Raw genomic sequence first — 13,654 nt, forward strand, 5'->3', positions numbered from 1 at the left:
ACTGTACCTGGTCCCTGGGGTAGTCTTGTACAACAAATTGTCCTAAGTCCTGCACAACTATCAGATGTCCTAGATATTTGGTAGGTGAAAAAAGTTTATATAATAATTAGCTGAGCATATAACCTAACTCCCTTTTACATAAAAACAAAGTATTTTTTGTACAGTTCTGCAGGCATGCAACTAAATAGAGGCAAGACTGTACAGTAGTTTGTTCACCATTTCAGAAAATCGTGCCATTAATGGCTGAGCTGGCTCCTGGTGTTTGAGTCTCTGATACAACAGAATATAGATCAGTCTGCACAGGATAGTAGAGTGTTTTAAGGCCAGGCACAGTGGCTTACGCCTGTAATCCCAACACTTTGGAAGGATGAGGTGGAGGATTGCCTGAGCCTAGGAGTTAGAGGTTACTGTGAGCCATGATTGCACGACTGCACTCCAGCCTGGCAACAGAGTGAGACCCTGTCTTTTTTTTCTTTTTTTGAGACAGTCTTCCTCTGTTACCTAGGTTGCAGTGCAGTGGCGCAGTCTCGGCTCACTGCACCCTTCTGCCTCCCGGGTTCAAGCGGTTCTCCTGCCTCAGCTTCCCAAGTAGCTGGGACTATGTGTGTGCGCCACCACACCTGGCTAATTTTTGTATTTTTAGTAGAGATGGGGTTTCACCATGTTGACCAGGCTGGTTAACTCGAACTCCTGGCCTCAAGTGATTCACCCGCTTTGGCTTCCCAAAGTGCTGGGATTATAGATGTGAGCCACGGTGCCTGGCCAAGACCCTGTCTCAATTAAAAAAAAAAAAAAAAAGGGTAGGGGGTGTGTTGTAAATACAGAAAGTAGCCCAAAGGCTGGGTACCATGGTACATGACTGTAATCCCAGCTACTTGAGAGTCTGAGATGGGATAATCACTTGATCCCACCCAGGAGTGTGAATCAGGCCTGGGCATCATAATGAGACTATTTAGTCTCCAAAAAAGAAAAACAAAAACCCAAAAAACTCAAAAGGTATTGGGCTGTATAGATGAGAACCACTGGCTACAGGGTCAAGGTCAGTGCAGTGTCTTGGTTTGGGTGGCTAAAGCAAATTACCATAGATGGTAATAGCAATTTATTTCTCATAGTTCTAGAGGCTGGGAAATCCAGGATCAAGTTGCCAGCAGATCCAGTGCATCATGAGGACACACCTCCTGGTTTGCAGATGGTCGTCTTGCTGTGTCCTCACATGGCAGAAAGAGGAAGCAAGCTCTCCTTGTTTGTTTTATAAGGGCACTAATCCCATCACGAGAGGTCCATCCTCAGAACCTAATGACCCCCTAAAGAGCCCACCTAATGCTGTCCCACTGGGGGTTAGGGTTTTGACATTGGAATTTTGAGGAGGACACAAACATGCAGTCCATAACACATTCCCTCTCATGATATGCAAGACCTCTTTTTTTTTTTTTTTGAGGTAGGGTCTCCTCTCCGTTGCCCAGGCGGGAGGGCAGTGGCATGATCATAGCTCACTGCAGCCTCAACCTCCTGGGCTCAAGTGATCCTGCCGCCTCACCCTCCTGAGTAGCTGGGCTACAGGCACATACCACCACACCTGGCTACTTTTATTATTTTTGTAGAGATGGAGTCTCACTGTTGCCCAGGCTGGTCTCAAACTCTTTGCCTCAAGCAATCCTCCCACCTTGGCCTCTTAAAATGCTGGGATTATAGGCATGAGCCACCACACCTGGCTATGATGGTTAATTTTATATGTCAACCTGACTGGGTCATAGGGTAACCACATATTTGGTCTTACTCTGGGTGTATCTATCAGGATATTTCTGGGCCTCATTCAACCCATTGAAGGCCTGTACAGAACAGGAAGGCTGATTAAGAGAGAATCTCTGTCTTTGAGGTGGAAAATCAGTCTTCTACCTTGTGACGTGGACTCAGACTGGAACTCATACCGTCAGCTCTCTTGGTTTTCAGGCCTTTGGAATTGGCCTGGAACTATACCATTGGCTCTTCTGGGTCCTCAGCTTATCACCTGCAGATCTTGGGACTTCTCAGCCTCCAGAACCATAGAAGCCAATTCCATATAGTAAAGCTCTGTCTCTCATCTATATATCTTATCGGTTCTGTTTCTCTGGAGAACAGACTAATGCATCCATATTGACAGGAAAATAGTTCATTCATTGTAATTGCTGTATACTATGCCACTGAATGAGCATATCAATTTGTTCCATTACCCTAGTGAAGCATTATTGGGTTGTTCCCACTTTTCCCCTCTTATAAATCAATAGCAATGCAGTGAGTATTTTGTATGTTTACTTGGGCCTATGTGTTAGTTTCTCCAAAGGAGGAAATATCACTGGTATTTAGCTTTACCAGTTGTTAAGTTGCTTTTCCGAAGTGGTTATGTGAATTTCACTTTCACCAGCATTTCCCTATTCTGTTGGTGTTGAGTGGTTCTATTAATTTTAATTTACATATCATTGATATCTGATAAGGTTGAGGACTTTTTTTTATTGATTTATTGGCCATTAGTATGTTTACCCTCTGGGATTTTCCTATTTATATCCTTCCCTCACCCCCACTTTTTTTTTTCGAGATGGAGTCTTGCTCTGTCGCCCATGCTGGGGTGCAGTGGTGCGATCTCAGCTCACTGCAACCTCTACCTCCCGGGTTCAAGCAATTCTCTCTCAGCCTCCCGAGTAGCTGGGACTACAGGCACATGCCACCGTGCCAGGCTAATTTTTGTATTTTTAGTAGAGACAGGGTTTCACCATGTTGGTCAGGCTGGCCTCAAACTCCTGACCTGAGGTGATCCACCCACCTCAGCCTCCCAAAGTGCTGGGATTACAGGCATGAGCCACTGTGCCTGGCCCCACTTCTCTTTCTATTGAGTTGTCTTCTTTGAAAAAACAGTTCGTAGGCAGTACTTTATATATTCTGGATAATAGTATTTTATTAGTTACATGGGTTGCAGGTTTGACTGAAATCATCTTTTGGAGTTTTTATAGGGTGAGGGTGGCTGTAGAGTTCCATGTTGCCTGCATCATATGTCTCTCCAGAGCAAACCTGTGGACAGTGGATCTGAGACCACTTTTTAGAACCTTCTTGGCTGGGGATTTGGTGGGAGTGGTGGTTTTCCAGACCATACAGGAAGAGCACTCATTATTCACATGAGAAATGTTCTAAAATTGACATAAGGGGCAGGCCCAGGATTCAGAATTTTCAACAATCTCCTGATCTCACAAGCCTAGGCATTCAGACTTCCTTGCTTCTTCCTTTCACCACCTGGGTGGGGTTTTTTTATGGTTTCCCCTCTTTCACTAAGGCTGTTGCTCTTTCAGGGTCCCAGCTTTAACTGGGGGTTTCAGTTTCCTGCCTGGAGCCAGTCTTGTCTTTAGTTGTCAGTATTAAAACAAGTCCTTAAGGTACGTTTCCCTTATCCCCTCAGTAATTGCATCGGCTATTTTCCTGTCTGCTCCAGTTTTCAGTTCCTTTGTCTTTAGTCTTTCTTGGAAGCTCTGCTATGCATTTTTAAAAAACAGCTTAGAAAATACTTCACCTATCATTTCTAGATATTTGTCTCAGTTTATTTTAGTCTGCATTAAGCTAGAACTGATACCTTTCATATACTCTCATGTCTCTTCTAAACATAATACCCTTCCCTTCCATTGCTTTTTTGCCTGGCAAAACTCCACCTAACTCTAATGGCCCAGCTTTACTCTCAAGTTTTCCTCCACCTTGCCAAGAATAATTTAGAATAGTTCTTATCACATTGCATTTTATTTCCCCCTTACTGGAGTATGAGCACTTTGAGGATAGAAACCAGATCTTGTTCATCTTTGTGTCTGTAGCTCCTGCTATAGTGCCTATCATAAAGTAGGTACTTAATGACTATGTTACTGAACTGAAAATATTTTCCTGCATGAATACTGGATTTTTTTTTTTTTTTTTGAAATGGAGTCTCGCTCTTGCTCTGTTGCCCAGGCTGGAGTGCAATGGCGTGATCTCAGCTTACTGCAACCTCCATCTCCCAGCTCCAAGCAATTCTCCTGCCTCAGCCTCCTGAGTAGCTGGGATTACAGGCACGCACCACCACACCCAGCTAATTTTTGTATTTTTAGTAGAGACGGGGTTTCATCATATTGGTTAGTCTGGTCTCGAACTCCTGACCTCATGACCTACCTGCCTCAGCCTCCCAAAGTGCTGGGATTACAGGCATGAGCCACCGCGCCCGGCTTTTTTTTTTTTTTTTTTTAGACAGGGTCTCACTCTGTCACTCAGGCTGGAGTTCAGTGGTGTGATCTTGGCTCACTGCAACCTCCATCTCCCGGGTTCAAGCGATTCTCCTGCCTCAGCCTCCCTGGTAGCTGGGATTTCAGGTGGCAATCACCGTGCCTGGCTAATTTTTGTATTTTTAGTAGAGATGGGGTTTTGCCATGTTGGCCAAGCTGGTCTCGAACTCTAGACCTCAGGTGATCTGCCTGCGTCTGCCTCCCAAAGTGCTGAGATTACAGGTGTGAGCCACTGTGCCTGACCATGAATACTGGATTTAAAGTCTGAAGAACTTCATTTATCACCCACCAACTAAACTTACGTAATTATTTTTAGGATTAGATGGACAATCTGTTTTTTTGTTTTTGTTTTGTTTGAGACAAACAAAACAGTGTGTCCACTCTGTCATACAGGCTGGAGTACAGTGGCGTAATCACGGCTCACTGCAGTCTTGACCTCCAGGCTCAAAAGATCCTCCCACTTCAGCCTCCTGAGTAGCTGGACCATAGGTGCATGGCACCACTTGTGGCTAATTAAAAAAATTATTTGTAGAGATGGGGTCTCCCTTTGTTGCTCAGGCTGGTCTTGAATTCCTGGCCTCAAGCAGTCCTCCTCCCTCAGCCTCCCAAAGTGCTGGGATTACAGATGGTAAGCCACCACACCTGGCCTTTTTAAACAACTTCTGAGACTAGGTTTCCTCATTGTGGCATATTGAATCTTTCATAGATGGCTGCAGCAATGTCTCCCATTCCACTGGTCTTCAGTGACCTTGCCACTTCTTCATCAAGAGGTAGAGTCTCTTACCACCCTGCCTTGCATCTGGGCAGTCCCTGTGATTACTTTGATCAGTAGCATACAGTGGAAGTGATGGGTGCCACTACTAGACAACACTGTTTTTTTGAGACAGGGTCTCATTCTGTCGCCCAGGCTGCAGTGCAGTGGTGCAGTCATTGCTCACTGTTAACTTCAAACTCCTGAGCTCAAGTCATCCTCCCACCTGATTCTCCAGAGTAGCTGGGACTACAGGTGTACACCATAACACTTGGCTAATTTTTTAATTTTTTGTAGAGATGGGGTCTCACCTTGTGCCCACGCTGGTCCCAAACTCTTGGCCTCAAGCAATCCTTCTGCCTTGGCCTCCTCAAGTGTTGGGATTACAGGCAGGAGCCACCATGCCCAGCCTAGACAACACTCTTAAGTGTCCTAGCAGCTTCTGCTTCCTGCCTCTTGGAACCTAGCCACCTGTGCAAAGCCCAAGATAATGGAGAGGCATGTACAGGCACTTCAGTTGACAGCCCTGACTGAGCTCCTAGGGAAAATCCAGCATTGACTGATAGCCAGGCAAAACTAGGTAAGTAAATCATCTTGGACGTCCATTGCACCTGCATCTTCATTCAAATAAATAACTCCATTCCCAGCTGAAATCTGACTGCAACCACATGAGATACCTCCAACTGAGCTCAACCAAACAACCACATCATGAGCAATAATAATATTCTGTTAAACCACTATGTTTTAGGGTGGTTTGTTACATATTAATAGATAATCACAACACTCATTTATGGAATGGGGATAATCCTACTTCTACAGCAGTGTTTTTTTTTTTTTTTAACATACTTGGCTCAGCCAGTGTTTTTTCTTTCTTTTTCTTTTCTTTTTTCTTTTTTTTTTTTTTTTAACAGAAGTGTTTCAAACCTTTTAGTTATTGTTGTATGTGAAATCACTTTTGCCAGGCGTGGTGGCTCACACCTATAATCCCAAAATGTTGGGAGGTCAGCATGGGTGGATCACTTGAGGTTAGGAGTTCAAGACCAGCCTGACCAACATGGGGAAACCCCATCTCTACTAAAAACATAAAAATTAGCCAGGTATGGTGGCACGCACCTGTGGTCCCAGCTAGTCAGGAGGCTGAGGCAGGAAAATCACTTGAAGATGAACCGAGATTGTGCCATTGTACTCCAGCCTGGCGACAGAGCAAGACTCTGTCTCAAAAAAAAAAAAAAAAAAAAAAATCACTTTCTAAGCAGTAAAGCACTATACAAACATAAGTCGTTTTTCAGTTAATAATAAAGCTACTTGGGAGGCAGGAGGATCGTTTGAGCCCAGGAGATCGAGGCTGCAGTGAGCTATGATCAAGCCACTGCATTCCAGCCTGGGTGACAGAGTGAGACCCTATCTCTAATAAAAAAGAATAATAATAAAGTTAAAACCCTTTTATAGCCAATAGATGAGAGGTAACGCCTTCTTTTAAAAATACTCCTGGTTCTCTGGTATAGATGATGTTAGTCTGTATCTAACCTACTCCACTAATTTGGGTCCCTCCAGGCCATCTACAAAACTGGTTTTATGACAGTCTTGCAGCACCAATAACGGTTATCTTCTAGCTCTGTATTCAAACTCTCTAGAACCCTACCTGTCACCTCCACCCCAACCATATGCACACAGTTCCTTCTCAGAACAAGATTCTGTTCTGATAGTTGGCCCTCATCTTAATAATTCATTTATCCAATGCAAACTAATATAATCAGTCTGTGCCTTTCGCTGAATGTTTCTGCAACATCTAATCTTCCTCATGAAATCTTGGGAAGTGCTGGTAGACACTGCAGAGCGGTTAATTAGATTATGGTATAGATAGTACGGTGGTTAGGAATAGAGAGGGATGGTAAATAAGATAGGAATAGTAAGGGTTTGACTCCTTACTAGCTGCTTGACCTTAGCAAGTTAACCTCTTTTTGCCTCCTGTTGTCATATGTGTTTAATACAGTGCCTAGCATGTAATGAGTCATGTGTTAGTTATTATTTTTATTATTGTTTTATCCAATTGCATCTTTTGTCAGATTAGCTACACCAACCAATCCAGTTTGTATTAACAAGGCAATTGTTCAAATTTCAGAAGGCAAAATACATTTCTCATCTGACTTTCAAAAGCATATTCATTCATATTTCACAACAATATTAGTCTATTCAATATAGCAAGTTGAGGAACTAAAAGTATGACCTAATTTTTTTTTTTTTTTTTTTTTTTAGACAGAGTCTCGGTCTGTCGCCCAGGCTGGAGTGCAGTGGCACGATCTTGGCTCGCTGCAACCTCTGCCTCCCAGGTTCAAGTGATTCTTCTTTTTCTTAAAAAACATAAAGCTCTAAAATGTAAGCACCCTGGCTGACTCTTCCTACCATGCACAGAAAGGAAAAATTTGGTGTCCAGGGCCTTCTGAATCAGACCTGGAAAAGCTCTTAATTAGCTTATGGATTCAGGAAACTGCGGATAGAGTCACTGAAGAGGTTGAGACAGTAGAGGTGGGTTGAAGCACTTTTAATCACAAACAAACAATAGTATAAGACCGTGAACAGCTCACCCAGTGGCTGTTGCCCTCCTCCAGCCCTCAGCTCACCCTCTTCCCATGCTCCCTCCCTGGGTACCATTGAGTAAAGAGCAGGGTATTGGCAGCTGTCCCTGTTGCTATCAGGTGATTGATAGGAAGGGGATCTAGCTAGGGACCACGGCAATCCTGGCCATCCATCCATGGTTCTGTTTCTATACAACTTCATCATGTGACATATTCCAGCTGTGAAAGAGGAACAGTACAGAAATGTGGGACTGAACTTGGCTGCTCCATTCAGATGGTCCAGGGGTTTAGAGTGTCAAGAGCCAAGGGCAAAAAAGAAGGAGAAGTCTGGAGTTGGCATAATTCAAGATGCAGCCAAATGTGGAACTAAGGTGGGTTCAGTGGGGACCAGGGAAGGCCTCATGGCCCCAGTCCACAATTGTGCCCCAACCCCGGCAATGAAACTCACGCATATGCACAAACGCACATCAACAAACACACAAAAACACACAGAGCAAATAACATTACTGAAAGAACCTGGAGGCTATTAAATACAAAATGGCAGTTTTCTTTCAAAGTGAAAATATTTGCTTCTTTGATACTCCTCAGTGCCTTGCAGTCTCCCAATCACAGAAGAGTAGATATGGGAAGGGCCAAGAGGAGTATGTTGCCAGTGGCCCTACAAGTCCATGTGTGCTGAAGTCCCTATAGCAACCACCTTACTCTTCAGCCCAGTAGCTGCCTCCCATGTGACCATTCACCCGATTGGCACCATTGCTGGAGCTACTGTCACAGGGACTTTTTGTGCAGGTGGTCACATCTTCTTCCTCTGAGCTGCTCTCCACATCACTGCGATCATCCTTCGATACCTGGGTGGGATGAGACCAAAGACAGAAAAGTGAGGAAAGAACTGTAAGACACCTAAGCTCAGAGACCCAGGTGTGGGCACTGTGTTCCCAGTCTGGTCTGCTTTCTGATGACATCTAACTCAAAGAAGTATTGTCTGGACTATGGCTACTGTTGTGACTATGCTTTACCTGCTTTCTAGTTTTCTCCCTTGTCATCTCCAATTCTGTTCTCTGTGGAATTGAAGCTACTTTGGTAGAGGAGTGTGTCTTTCAGGACCAGCCTAAGAGAACTGACATCATTCACTGAGACCTGGTTTAGGTTTCAGACACCCTTTCTCTTCTTCCACTTCAAAGAACAGGGAAGGCCAACACGAACAATACGTATGACTGTCAGCAATGCTTCTATCTTCTGGTGGTTGTGGACAATGCATTTATTCGTATTGGTTATGCTGTTTTGCTTTATCCCCAAAGCTGATCCATAACAGGCCTTTTTTAGTAGTTTCCCACTCCTGGGCTCAACTACCACTATCCTATGACACTGTTTTCCAATCTTCTTCCCTTTCCCAATAGCAAGATCACTTTTCTTATGAAACTTCAGCATCCCTGGCTGGGCGTGGTGGCTCACGCCTGTAATCCCAGCACTTTGGGAGGCCGAGGCAGGCGGATCACAAGGTCAGGAGTTTGAGACCAGCCTGAGCAACATGGAGAAACCCTGTCTCTACTAAAAATACAAAAATTAGCCGGGTGTGGTGGCGCGCACCTGTAATCCCAGCTACTCAGGAGGCTGAGGCAGGAGAATCTCTTGAACCCCGGAGGTGGAGGTTGCAGTGAGCTGAGATCGTGCCACTGCACTCCAGCGTGGGCGACAGAGTGAGACTCCATCTCAAAAAAAAAAAAAAAAAAAGAAAAAAAAAAAGAAACTTCAGCATCCCCAAGATACACAGTATAGTGAAAACACAAATGGATTGGCAGTCAATGAGAAAAGAATCCCAGTTCTAATCATGCTACCATCTGTGAATGCTTATTAACCTGGGTTTTTTTGTTTTGTATTATTTTCAAATGAAGCATTTGGATTACAGCAGCATTTCCTAATCTAAACTATCCTGCATATCAAGCAAAGTATTTCAATTTCTCCACCATGAGCCAGGCACAGTGGCTTACACCTATAATCCTAGCACTTTGGGAGGCTGAGGGAGGAGGACAGCTTGAGCCCAAGAGTTTGAGACCAGCCTGGGCAACATGGAGAGAGCCCTGTCTCTACAAAAAATAAAAAATGACAAAATCAGTTGGGCATGGTGACATGCACCTGTAGTCCTAGCTACTTGGGAGGCTGAGGCAGGAGCATCTCTTGAGCCCAGGAGGTCGAGGCTGCAGTGAGCCATGATTGCGCCACTGTACTCCAGCCTGGGCAATGGAGCAAAACCTTGTCTCTAAAAAAAAAAAGGGCCGAGCATGGTGGCTTACGCCTGTAATCCCAGCACTTTGGGAGGCTGAAGTGGGCGCATCACCTGAGGTCGGGAGTTCGAGACCAGCCAGACCAACATGAAGAAACCCCGTCTCTACTAAAAATACAAAAAAATTAGCCAGGCGTGGTGGCGTATGCCTGTAATCCCAGCTACTCAGGAGGCTGAGGCAGGAGACTCGCTTGAACTGGGCAGGCAGAGGTTGCAGTGAGCCAAGATCACGCCATTGCACTCCAGCCTGGGCAACAAGAGCTAAACTCTGTCTCAAAAATAAATAAATAAAAATTAAAAAAAAAAAATTACCCTGGACTCTAATAGTAAAGAACAGAAATCCAGTGAGACCTGTGTCGGACTTCTGACCTCCAGAACTGAAGGATAATAAATGTGGTTTAAGTAAAGGAGAGAAGGAAGTGAAAAGGAACACAGCTGTAACAACTGTTGCCAAGGAGGTGGGCATTTGCTTTGGATCAGCTCCTTGAATTTGTGTTGGATGGGTCTTCTACAGTTGATTATAGCTGTTGGCCTCTGAACTTAGATGACTAACTGATTACCTGACCTTTAGGAAATTTCCACTAGAGGGCAGAGTGTCTCTAGATTTGAGGTAAACAGAGACTCAAGAAAAACAAAAAAAAGTAGACTCAATTCTTGCCTCAGTTTAGGAAAAAATCTGGCAACTGCAGCTCTAGTCAATAATGGCCCCGAAAAGTCAGGAGAGAGGGCATGCTCTGAGACAAACACAAGGGAACAGAAAGGAGAGCAGGAGGAAAGAGAACCACATTCAGATGGACATGCCTCACTGAATACTAGAAGCACAGATACACTTACATGCAAGAGATGAAACTGTCCAGCTCCCGCCAGGCATAGAAAAAAGGAAGGAGGTGAGGAAAGAGTGGAGAGTACAGGGTCTAATCCTTCCTGGACAGGTCACCTAGTCAGGAAAGAAAAGCAGGAGAGAACAGAGATGTCCAGTAGCTACAGCAAGATGCACAGGCACACTGAGCAAGTTCTGAGCCAATGGCAGCTATAAGGAATAATGATGCAGGAGATCATCAATATCTAGGCCACATTCCATCACTTGGTCCTAGTATCAGTACCTGCTCAAGCAGAGCCCCTCCCACTTGGGATTCTGTATTCCTTTAGGCTGAAATCCCTAGCCCTTTGACTACAGTCTGACTGCTTCAAAACTTGCAAAGTTCAATTATGAGTTTATCATTAAGTGGCACCTTTCTTTCGCTCTTGGCATAAGATGGGTATTTGAAACACTACATACCCATTCACTTAGGACACTTGCCTCATACACTAGTGGGGTGAGGTGGGTATTTAGTTCCTTATATAAACCATATCTTGAATATCACAGCATGGTCACCTTGTGGTGGCTTGTGAACTACCACACACCACTTCTAGGCAACTTAACAATCTGCTTTTATACAGTTTATATGGTTCTGCATATGATTTCCTTTGAAAAGGGCCCCATGTCAAAAAGAAAAATATGAAATCCACTGAAGCAGGTAGGTAAGGGGTAGGAAATGGTTGAGGCCATCTCTTAAAAAACTCTTAACCCTATCATCCTTTAACAAAAGCCATTCCTAAGGGACAGGAAGAAGGTAGAACTTTCCTCTTGCGTCTAAGTCACATCTTAAAAGGTAAAACAGGCAGGCCAGGTGCGGTGGCTCACGCCTGTAATCCCAGCACTTCGGGAGGCCAAGGTGGGCAGATCACAAGGTCGGGAGTTAGAGACCAGCCTGGCCAACATAGTGAAACCCCGTTTCTACTAAGAATACAAAAATTAGCCAGGCCTGGTGGCATGCGCCTGTAATCCCAGCTACTAGGGAGGCTGAGGCAGGAGAATCGCTTGAACCCAGGAGGTGGAGGTTGTGGTGAGCCAAGATCGTGACATTGCACTCCAGCCTGGGCAACAGAGCGAGATTCCATCTGAAAAAAAAAAAAAAAAAAGGTAAAACAGGCTTGGTGTGGTGGCTCACACCTGTAATTCCATCGCTTTGGGAAGCCGTGGTGGGAGGACTGCTTGAGGCCAGTAGTTGGACATTGGCCTGGGTAACATAGTGACACCCTATCTACAAAAAATAAGAAAATTAGCCAGGCGTGGTGGTGCACACCTATAGTCCCAGCTACTTGGGAGGCTGCAGTGGGAGAATCCAAGCCCAGGTGTGAGGCTGCAGTAAGCTATGATCATGCCACTGAACTCCAGCCTGGGTGACAGAGCAAGACCTTGTCTCTAAAATAAAAAAGGCAAAACACTTACCGAAGAGGCGAAGACTTTGGAGCCCTAGGCTTTTTGCTTGGCCTGCTTGAGTAGATGGGGCTCACCAGGTTTGATGGAGAGAGAACGTCTGTTGAGTAATCCCTATCTTCCATACCCAAAAGAAAGAAGCCATCTTTCATCCTCACCTTTCCCCTGATCAAGGCTTTCAAAGCAATCCGTGCAATTAGGTAGGACCAGATGACATGCAGAAGCTGTAGGGTCAGCAGCAGGCCATTGAGGAGCCACCATGAAGCATAAGGCCCGATTATCTCCCAACTCTCAAAGAGGGTCGTGTTCAGAATCCTAGAAGAGGGAGGCCAATAGTCAGATTCTAGAGTCAAAGCTCAGCAGACAGGGATGAAGCTGAGTCCTGGGGATGCAGAGCCCTGTGTGTTTTCCTACCAGCCCTTTTATCAGCTGAAGTTCCAGGGACCGTCATCCACAGTAAGAAAATAAAGAAAGGGAGGAGCCTGTTGTGTTTTCTATCCTTAGGGACAGAGAAAGATATATAAATCTTAGGAACTGATGGATTAAGTCACATTATTAATCACTTCAAATATCCAGAGTTTCACGAAATTAGGACAGCAGTGGGACTCTAATCCTATGAATGACTGAGCTCCTCAGGCACATATAGGATAGGACAGTAGGTAGCTGATTCCCATAGAGCAGTGAATGTAAAAGTGAAAGGAGACAGGGAGAGAGAGGAGAGGGAGGGAGGGAGAGAGAGGAGAGGGAGGGAGAGAGAGAGGAGGGAGGGAGAGAGAGGGGAGGGAGGGAGAGAGAGGAGAGGGAGGAAGAGAGAGAGAGGAGAGGGAGGGAGAGAGAGGAGGACAGGGAGGGAGAGAGAGAGGAGGGAGGGAGAGAGGGGAGGGAGGGAGAGAGAGGAGAGGGAGGAAGAGAGAGAGAGGAGTGTGTGTGTGTGTGTGTGTGTGTGTGTGTGTGTGTGTGTGTCAGGGTTGGGACCAGAGCAGGAACACAAGCAAGAAGGGACTGAGAATTGTATCAACAGTGCAAAAGAAGTCAAAGGAATTACTTAGGCATAAAATGAGGACTGTTCCTCAGAGATGAGTCAGTCCTGAGAAGCCAACCAAGCCGGGTACTCTGAGTCTGGATCCGACCTTGCTAGAAATACGGTCTGAGGCAGCAGAGGTCCTATGAGAGTCCACAGAAGGTCAGCACAGGCTAAGGTAAAAGCAGGGCAATAGGGTTCTTGTGTTCTATTGGCGAAAGTAGAATAGAATAGAACAGAAAAACTGAATGGGCAAAATGAGAATTGGCAAAAAGGTATCATTAGGCTCATACCTACCACAACTCTACAGCCCTACCACTTACCAGAATGGATAGATTCCTAGTCGTGTAACCATAAAAACAGCACTGAAGATCACAAAAAGGGTGTCACAGAGCCGCTGATACTTGGCATAATTGGCCAGTTTGGCTGCCTGGAGAAAGGAAGAAAGAATTGAGCTGGGGAGAAAGTCATTCCTCACATAGGAAGAAAAGAAGAGA

The 13,654-nt window shown here is 45.1% G+C and overlaps 1 protein-coding gene across 18 annotated transcripts in view; it reads right to left on the minus strand.

Annotated features, from left to right (window-relative positions):
* CERS5 (ceramide synthase 5) overlaps nucleotides 7,038–13,654 on the minus strand; it is a 38,081-nt gene continuing 31,464 nt past the window's right edge. For 4 of the 18 annotated variants that reach the window (NR_138532.3, NM_001331071.3, NM_001331073.3 and 1 more), the window contains 4 exons: nucleotides 13,481–13,587; nucleotides 12,295–12,451; nucleotides 10,711–10,813; nucleotides 7,038–8,443 (listed from right to left, as the gene is read on the minus strand). Coding sequence is in view for 12 of the 18 variants with exons in the window: in NM_001331071.3 (NP_001318000.1) it covers nucleotides 8,430–8,443; nucleotides 10,711–10,813; nucleotides 12,295–12,451; nucleotides 13,481–13,587 (381 nt within the window). In the remaining 6 variants the exon portion in view is untranslated. Of the gene's footprint in view, nucleotides 8,444–10,710; nucleotides 11,818–12,148; nucleotides 12,452–13,078; nucleotides 13,366–13,480; nucleotides 13,588–13,654 lie in introns of those variants that run through there. The other 14 variants (NR_104035.3, NR_138533.3, NR_138536.3 and 11 more) reach the window with 6 other exon arrangements.

This window comes from Homo sapiens, chromosome 12 (assembly GCF_000001405.40).
Source record: "Homo sapiens chromosome 12, GRCh38.p14 Primary Assembly".
NCBI classification, from domain to species: Eukaryota; Metazoa; Chordata; class Mammalia; order Primates; family Hominidae; genus Homo; species Homo sapiens.